Source organism: Homo sapiens, chromosome 17, assembly GCF_000001405.40.
Source record: "Homo sapiens chromosome 17, GRCh38.p14 Primary Assembly".
NCBI lineage: Eukaryota > Metazoa > Chordata > Mammalia > Primates > Hominidae > Homo > Homo sapiens.
Window position 1 is genome coordinate 19,428,931 of NC_000017.11, and position 8,505 is coordinate 19,437,435.

General features: G+C 43.8%; 1 annotated feature.

Annotated features, from left to right (window-relative positions):
• Nucleotides 4,267-4,805: an enhancer, noted in NCBI's record as "NANOG-H3K27ac hESC enhancer chr17:19336510-19337048 (GRCh37/hg19 assembly coordinates)". NCBI's record gives its function as "activates a minimal SCP1, AML or CMV promoter by ChIP-STARR-seq in primed H9 embryonic stem cells {active_cell/tissue: H9 hESC(primed)}" and the evidence as "EXISTENCE:reporter gene assay evidence [ECO:0000049][PMID:30033119]".

Sequence of the window (8,505 nt, forward strand, 5' to 3'; positions counted from 1 at the left end):
ACGGAATCTCACTCACTCTTATCACCTAGGCTGGCGTGCAGTGGCTTGATCTCGGCTCACTGCAACCTATGCCTCCCAAGTTCAAGTGATTCTCCTGCCTCAGCCTCCTGAGTAGCTGGGATTACAGGTGCCTGCCACCATGCCTGGCTAATTTTGGTATTGTTTGTTGAGATGGGGTTTCACCATGTTGGCCAGGCAGGTCTCAAACTCCTGACCTCAAGTGATCCGCCTGCCTCGGCCTCCCAAAATGTTGAGATTACAGGCATGAGCCACCACGCCCAGCCAAGGATCTTATTTTTACATTGAATCCCAGGTCCCCCTAAAGAGGGACACTCCATAGGACCAAGTCTTTTTTTTTTTTTTTTTTTTGACACGGAGTTTCGCTCTTGTTGCCCAGGCTGGAGTGCAATGGTGCGATCACCTTAACATACGCCTCCCGGGTTCAACTGATTTTCTTGCCTCAGCCTCCCGAGTAGCTGGGATTACAGGCATGCACCACCATGCCCAGCTAATTTTGTATTTTTAGTAGAGACGGGGTTTCTTCATGTTGGTCAGGCTGGTCTCAAACTCCCGACCTCAGGTGATCCGCCCCCCTCGGCCTCCCAAAGTGCTGGGATTACAGGCGCGAGCCACTGCACCCGGCCAGGACCAAGTCTTGTACGATGCTTCCACAGTGCACCTTACTGCAAGAGAAACCCAATGCCAATCAGCCCATTCTGTGCTGAGCTCATTCTCTTGAGAGTCCTATGCCTTGGTGGTGAGTGTTTCCACAGCCTCCAAGTGTCCACACTGCACCTTTCTTATCTAAACACCCAAAGAAATGAGTAGCCCCTTGCAAACAGCTGCAGTCAGCCATCTCCAAAACTGCAGCCCTCACCAGTGACCAGCCAGCTTTCTCACACACACAAAGGTTGTGTTCTCTCATAGCACAGAGTAATCCCTGCTACCCCCACAAAGCCGAAGAGATCATGCAGTGCAATGCAAGAGGGAGCAGAGCTTTAGATGGAGGGGAACCTGCCTGCAACTCTTTGGAGGAAGAATTTCTCAAGGAAAACAGAAGACTTTAGAAAGGGGGTGAGTGGAGCCTTTTTCTGTTTTCCTCAAGGGTCTCAGAGTCATTAGAAGTCCCTTCTAGATGGCTTTATGTGGCACTGAAGATGACAAAACAAGGAGAAGCAGGGAGGATTAGAAGTAAATGGGAGAGGCTGGGCACAGTGGCTCATGCCTGTAATCCTAGCACTTTGGGAGGCTGAGGTGGGCCGATCACCTGAGGTCAGGAGTTCGAAACCAGCCTGGCCAACATGGTGAACCCCGTCTCTACTAAAAATACAAAAATTAGCCAGGCGTGGTGGTGCATGTCTGTAATCCCAGTTACTTGGGAGGCTGAGGCAAGAGAATAGCTTGAACCAGGGAGGTAGAGGTTGTACCACTGCACTCCAACCTGGACAAGAGAGCGAGATGCCATCAAAAAAAAAAAAAAAAAAAAAAAAAAGAAGTAAATGGGAGAACAATTCTCAAGGAAGGAAGCAAACAGAGAGACCAAGCACATAACTCAAAAAGGGGTTTCAAAAAAGAAGAAAAAAAAGAAAAAAAAGAAACACACATACAGAACATAACACACACACAAACACACACACACACACACACACACACAGGGTTTCAGTTGACTAGAAAAAAAAATCCCCAAAACAGGATCCAAAAAGCAGAAAGGCCTTTAGAAAAAAAATGTATGTAGCTTGAATATCAGCTTTTAATTAAGCCCACTTCTGACCACAGAGCTCTAGGAAAATATTTGCAAATCTCTTATTATCAGACTTTATTCAGAACAAGTAGCTAATACTCCTGGCTTTTGAACTCTTTTACTAAAGGTACCCTCTTCAATAAAAATTGGTCGCTCCCAGAAGTCAAAAGTCACACAAATGTCAAACCAAATGAGACTGATGCCCTGACTGGGAATTGAACACTGAATCCAGGCTATGGTGGTAAAAGTGTGGAATTTTAACTCCTAAACTGGAAGATAGAATGCGGTCATTGTAAATCCTACAGGGGATCCAAAGCAGGCAGTTTGAGCATACAAAGGATTTTAACTTCGTTTTAGGTCAATTTTTTTTTTAGATGGTATCTCACTCTGTCACCCAGGCTGGAATGCAGTGGCACCATCTTGGCTCACTGCAACCCCTGCCTCTTGGGTCCAAGTGATTCTCGTCCCGCAGTCTCCCGAGTAGCTGGAACTACAGGTGCACGCCACCACGCCCAGCTAATTTTTGTATTTTTAGTAGAGACAGGGTTTCGCAGTGTTGGCCAGGCTGGTCTCGAACTCCTGGCCTCAAGTGATCCACCTGCCTTGGCCTCCCAAATGCTGGGATTACAGGCATGAGCCACCATGCCTGGGTAGGTCAAATTTTTGATTGTTAATTTTCTCAAGAGAGTTTCTAAATCTAGTCATGACACCACTATGCTGTCTTTCTTTTAATTTAATTTTCTCATAAATACAAATAAGGCAATTGTTTAGAATAAGGGATCTCTAAAATCCTTTTTTAAAAAAAATTAGAAATGTTTCTAATTTAAAAGATCCGTCTGAGGAGGAGAGCAAACAATATGAATACTTTTACCAAAAAGTACACAAGAGTCGCTACACCCAAGACTAGACACGAATCCTTTTCTCCCATTAATCAAGATTTTGCAGAGGAAAATAGAGACACTGACTTTTACCTTCTGCTTGACTGGATTCTGCAAAAAGAGAGGCAGGGAGCCTGGGTGGTAAGAATGTCTTATCCTTCCACAGGCTGGTCAGGTCCTGGGTTCCCTAAACTGTGGCTTCAGAAGAGCAGAGCTTTGGTTTTGTCAGAAAAAGGAAAATCTTAAAAGTGGCCCAAGATGGCTGCAAGTTGGACATATGGGTAATAGAAACTGGGCCTATGGACTAAAGCTGAACTCTCGCCTGCAAGGCTTGAGTTTGTCAAATACTTCACTGAATTATTGATTACAACCTTGCCTATCCCACGAAGCACAAAGACAGTATAGAATCAGTCATCCCCTAAGATGCCTACATGCTCGTTAACCTTTTACCCTTGTCAACCTGAAATAATTGAAAGGATCAGCATCCAGTTTTAAGGAGTTTATTCAAGTGAAAAACTGGCAATTGCCATCCAGTAAACACAGACTCCAGTGCTCCGAAATTAAAAGTTAAGGTCTCGGCCAGGTGCGGTGGCTCACATCTGTAATCCCAGCACTTTGGGAGGCCGAGGCAGGCAGATCACAAGGTCGGGAGATCGAGACCATCCTGGTCAACATGGTGAAACCCCATCTCTACTAAAATACAAAAAATTAGCCAGGCGTGCTGGCGTACACGCCTGTAGTCCCAGCTACTCAGGAGGCTGAGGCAGGGGAATTGCTTGGACCCAGGGTGCGGAGGTTGCAGTGAGCCGAGATAGCACCACTGCACTGCAGCCTGGGCAACAGAGCGAGACTCCATCTCAAAAAAAAAAAGACAAGTTAAGGTCTCACTTATATTGACAGAAAACAAAAAAAAATCTAGTAGGATTATAACATTTTCTACACAGGGCTGGTTTATTAGTTACAGTTTAATTAGCTGCAGCATGTTTTCACCTCCTTTCCATTGTTAGATGTTAAACACACAAAAAGTGTGTTTAACATTCCATTTTAGACAATGTGATCCTCATGAAATCTTTGTGTGAGAGAGGAAAGAGGGAAGTTAATCTATGATGAAGATCAATAGTTGAGAGGGAAGGGGTCTTCCCTGGCATCCTTCATTCATTTACAACATTTTACAAAATAATTTAGGTAAGAAAAAAGACTAATGTATAATCAGGGAAACAAAAGTTACAGCTTCCTAGGTTACAGCTGCCAGTTTATGTGACTCAGGTCCCATAATCACATTCCCTTAAGGCTCAAAATATTTTAAGGTTCCAAAAGCTTAGATTTTGAATTACTTATTTTCACACCCTATATATGTTAACCACGTATTTGCTTTATCTTATGTACAACGTCACTGAGCACCAATCAGAATTGTAGGAATGTCACCTTTGCTTCTCCATTTCCATGTAACAGAATGTATAAATACTATCTCGTGTAGCCCACTTGGGGAGACATTTTTGGTTTGTTCTGAGTCTGTATTTCCCAGAGAATTAGTCCTCAAACTTCACTCGGGATAAAACTAACTTTAAATTTCTTTAAGTTATAGTGCCTGTTATGTAACCTTTCTGTCAATAGTATCCTGCTCACAGCACCAAAACTTAGGGGGCAAGGGAAAATTCTGCTGAAAAATCAACTCACAATAGGTAAATTAATAGGAGAAATGACATAGAAATGTACTAATATCCACAGAAGGAAAATCGCAGTGATTACCCCCACTCCCCAGTGGGGTTCTGAAGCTTATGTACTATCTTGAGGTTACATTAACAATGGGGGCTCACAGCAGGGCCAAAACCAGATTACAGTGTTAGATCAGTTTATGGCGGCAACAGAGGTTATGGAGGGGAAGAAGAGGAGGGCTGGCTAGCAAAGGGGGTCTTGTTATGTAGATGAAGCCTCACAGGTAGCGGCCCTCGAGAGAGAATAGGTGGTGAATGTTTCTGTTAGACTTTAAAGGTGTCAGACTCTCGCTTAATCTTTCCCAGATCTGGATGAGGGAAGGCCTCAGAGACAGCCTGGCTTCATCAGTGCAGATTTCTCTACAGATGCAAATCTCCCCCACAAAAGGCAGCTTTTTAGTTATTTTTGTATTTCCAACCCTTCTGAATATCTGCCTTGAGCTATGTCGAGAAAATATATTTTATGGTAAAATCATTTGATTTCCTTCAGATGCTTTGATATTGTGATTTTGATTTTTGTTCCTGGTTCCTGGCATACCAGCTCCTAAACTCTTGGGATGTCTGGAGTGATAAGTGTCTTTTTGTATGCTAGTGAGATGATTAGTGGCTGGGGGTTCCCAGATAGCCTTAGGATGGGGCTGGTTGACACGGAAACCAACCATACAATTAGAGGTTTGGCACTTTCAGCCCCACCTTCTAACACTGGAGAGTAGAGAGGGCCTGAAGCTTGAGTTGATTACCAATGGCCAATGATTGATCAATCATGCCTACATAATGAGCCTCCAGAACATTCCAAAAAGATGGGGTTCAGAGAGCTTCTGAATTGCTGAATAGATGGAGCTGTCTGTAGGGTGGCATGCTTACAGGATGCCATGGGGGTGTGCTGCAGGACAGGACATGGAAGCTTATTGCCCCTTACCTTCCATACCTTGCCCTATGGATCACTTCTGCCTGGCTATTCATCTACATCCTCTGTAATATTCCTTACTAATATAATAAGCTGGTAAACATAAGTAAATGTTTCCTTGAGTTCTGTGAACTTCCTAACAAATTAGAACGGGGTTGTGGGAACCCCAATTTATAGCTGCTCAGTTAGATGCATAGGTGACAACCTGCTACTTGCAATTGGTGTCTGAAAATAGGCCAGTCTTGTGAAAATAGAACTAAGCCTTAACCTGTGGGATCTGACACTATGCCCAGGTAGAGTGTCAGAATTGAATTGAATGGGAGGACTCCCACTTGGTATCCACTGTAGAACTGCTTAGTGTGTGAGGACAAGCCCACAGACATCTGGTGTCAGAAGTGAAGTGTTGTGTTGAGTGGTGTGAGTAGGAAAAGCAGTTTGTTTTTTTCATCTCTCTTATTAAGACCCAAAGTAAGGGCTTGAGCCCCTATAATAAGTGTAGCAGCTCCTGCCATAGCTCGAAGGCATCCAGGTACCCAGAAGAACTGAGAAGTATGCTACTGGTCTATCGTCTAATACCAACTTTTGAATTAAATTCTACTGTGGCAGGCCAGGTCTCACTAACAGCTGAACAGGCAGGCCTCCATGCCAACTGCTTCGGCACTGAGTGGTTAGGTTAAATATTAAAAGCTGAAAGACCCAGGGCCCCTATACAAAGGCTGGAATATAACAGAAGCCCACCAAGAGTCTTGCTTAGGCCTTTTCTGGGCCTTGAAGCATGACAGGATAATGAAGGAATTCTTAACAGGACCTGTTTAGAATTAAACAAGTTTTATTTTTTATTTTTTAAATGGAGTCTCACTGTGTTGCCCAGGCTGGAGTGCAGTGGCACAATCTCAGCTCACTGCACCTCCGCCTCCTGGGTTCAAGCGATTCTCTTGCCTCAGCTTCCTGAGTAGCTGGGACTGTAGGCATGTGCCACCACGCCCAGCTAATTTTTGTATTTTTGGTAGAGACGGGGTTTCACTATATTGGCCAGGCTGGTCACAAACTCCTGACCTCAGATGATCCACCCACCTCCGCCTCCCAAAGTACCGGGCATACAATAGGTGTAAGCTGCCATGCCCGGCCAAGATTAAACAAGTTGGGTTTTTTGTTTTGTTTTTGTTATTTTTGAGACAGAATTTTGCTCTTGTTACCCAGGCTGGAGTGCAATGGCACGATCTCGGCTCACTGCAACCTCCACTTCCCGAGTTCAAGAGATTCTCCTGCCTCAGCCTCCCAAGTAGCTGGGATTACAGGCGCCGGCCACCATGCCCAGCTAATTTTTTGTATTTTTAGTAGAGATGGGGTTTCACCATGTTGGCCAGGCTAGTCTTGAACTCCCGACCTCAGGTGATCCACCTGCCTCAGCCTCCTAAAGTGCTGGGATTATAGGCGTGAGCCACCGTGCCCGGCCAGATTAAACAAGTTTTGTTGGGGGTCTGAAGGATCTCCCAAACCTCCATGATTTAACAGGAGACAAGATAAGGGTAATCACGCCTGACACCTGGACCCATTTAGATTAAGTAAATTTACTGAGGCTCTAGAATAAGGTCTTCATGATTCAGACCTTAGTTATAGACTAGAAATTAATCACTTATGTATTTAGATGAATGCACACTTACACGCAGACATATATAACTTAGAAGGTATATAAGCTCTAGAAAACTTTGCAATTTTGGGTTGGTTTGGTGATATTTTCCTAACCTTTTCCCTGTACCCGGTTACAGAAATAAACTCTCTTCTTTCCCAGTTCATCTGCATCTTATTATTGGGCCATGAAAGTAAGCAGCCAGACCCTTGGTTTGGTCCAGGAACACTACCAGCAGTGCCTTTCATGGCAAATCACTTGGAAAGGTTTTTTCAAAGTTTGGAATTCTTGAAGCATGGAGAGAGACTATAGCCAATTTCAGTTGTTCAAAAGGCTCTTCAGGCTAGGCACGGTGGCTCATGCCTGTAATCCCAGCACTTTGGGAGGCCGAGGTGGGCGGATCATTTGAGACCAGGAGTTTGAGACCACTCTGGTCAACATGGTGAAACCCCGTCTCTACAAAATATAAAAATGAGCCAACTGTGGTGGCCTGTGCCCATAGTCCCAGCTATTTAGATGGCTGAGACATGAGAACCACTTGAACCCAGGAGGAGGAGGTTGCAGTGAGCCGAGATCATGCCATTGCACTCCAGCCTGGGCCACAGAGCAAGATTCTGTCTCAAAAACAAAACAAAACAAAAAAGCCTTTTCAGGTTCTAAGGATTAAGTCAGAGATTCTGGAATATTGTCATGTAATGCTCCATCAGAGGTTTTTGCCTGCCCTGTAAAAGCTGGTGTTAAGTAAAGTAAAATTATGGGAGATCATTGTTTTGGATGAAGCTCCTGCACTAGACCCCAGAGGACCAGACTAAAAATCAAAATAGAGTCACCTATGCTAAAGTTCCAGGTTACAAAACCAAAACTAAGTTGTTATCTGACAGGAGAGAGATTTCCCAAACAGGCCAGTTTCCATTTTTAAGCAGCATGATAATGAATTCTCTCTGCTTTAATCCTCACACAAAAGCAGCAGCCTGAAGCAACCTGAGAATAACCTAGTCAGTTATTCTCTATTGTTCTGTCTTCCTGTGCCCACCTTACCAGAAAAGTAGCTTTGAAACCAGGGATATGCTCTTTGTTCTTTGCTTCTGCTTTCTTCATCCCTTCTGTCTGTAAAGCCAACCCCTTCTGCTCAGCTCGTGGGAACACTTATTCTGTTTTCTGGAATGGAGTGTTGCCCAATTCTAGGCTCATAATAAAGTAAATTGAGATCTTTAAATTTGTTGTAGTTTTGTCGTTTGACCTTGGAGTCCACTGTGGAAAATATCCTACCCATCTCTAAAATTGTCTTTAAGTTATTTTTCCTGTTGTAGACCATTTCATGTGAAAAATTAGCTAACTCCTAGATTATAACACTTTTGTGTTCTTCAGTGACAAATGTCCTAAATATTTTACCTCAGTTTGGCAATATTACAATTTGTCTAGTAAGGCCTTAAGCCTCTCTGAAGTGAGGAATTCTAACAAAGCCAAAAGTATCAGTTTGGCATTGCTCTTTAGTTTCTTAGGCTATCAGCAAATCATCTACATATTGGATTGTAAACCAAAAATAAAATTCTAAGCCCCTTAACCAACTGAATGGACCCCTCTTCTTGGCCAAGGGGATTCCAAAATAAACTGAAACACTACTTCTGGCCATG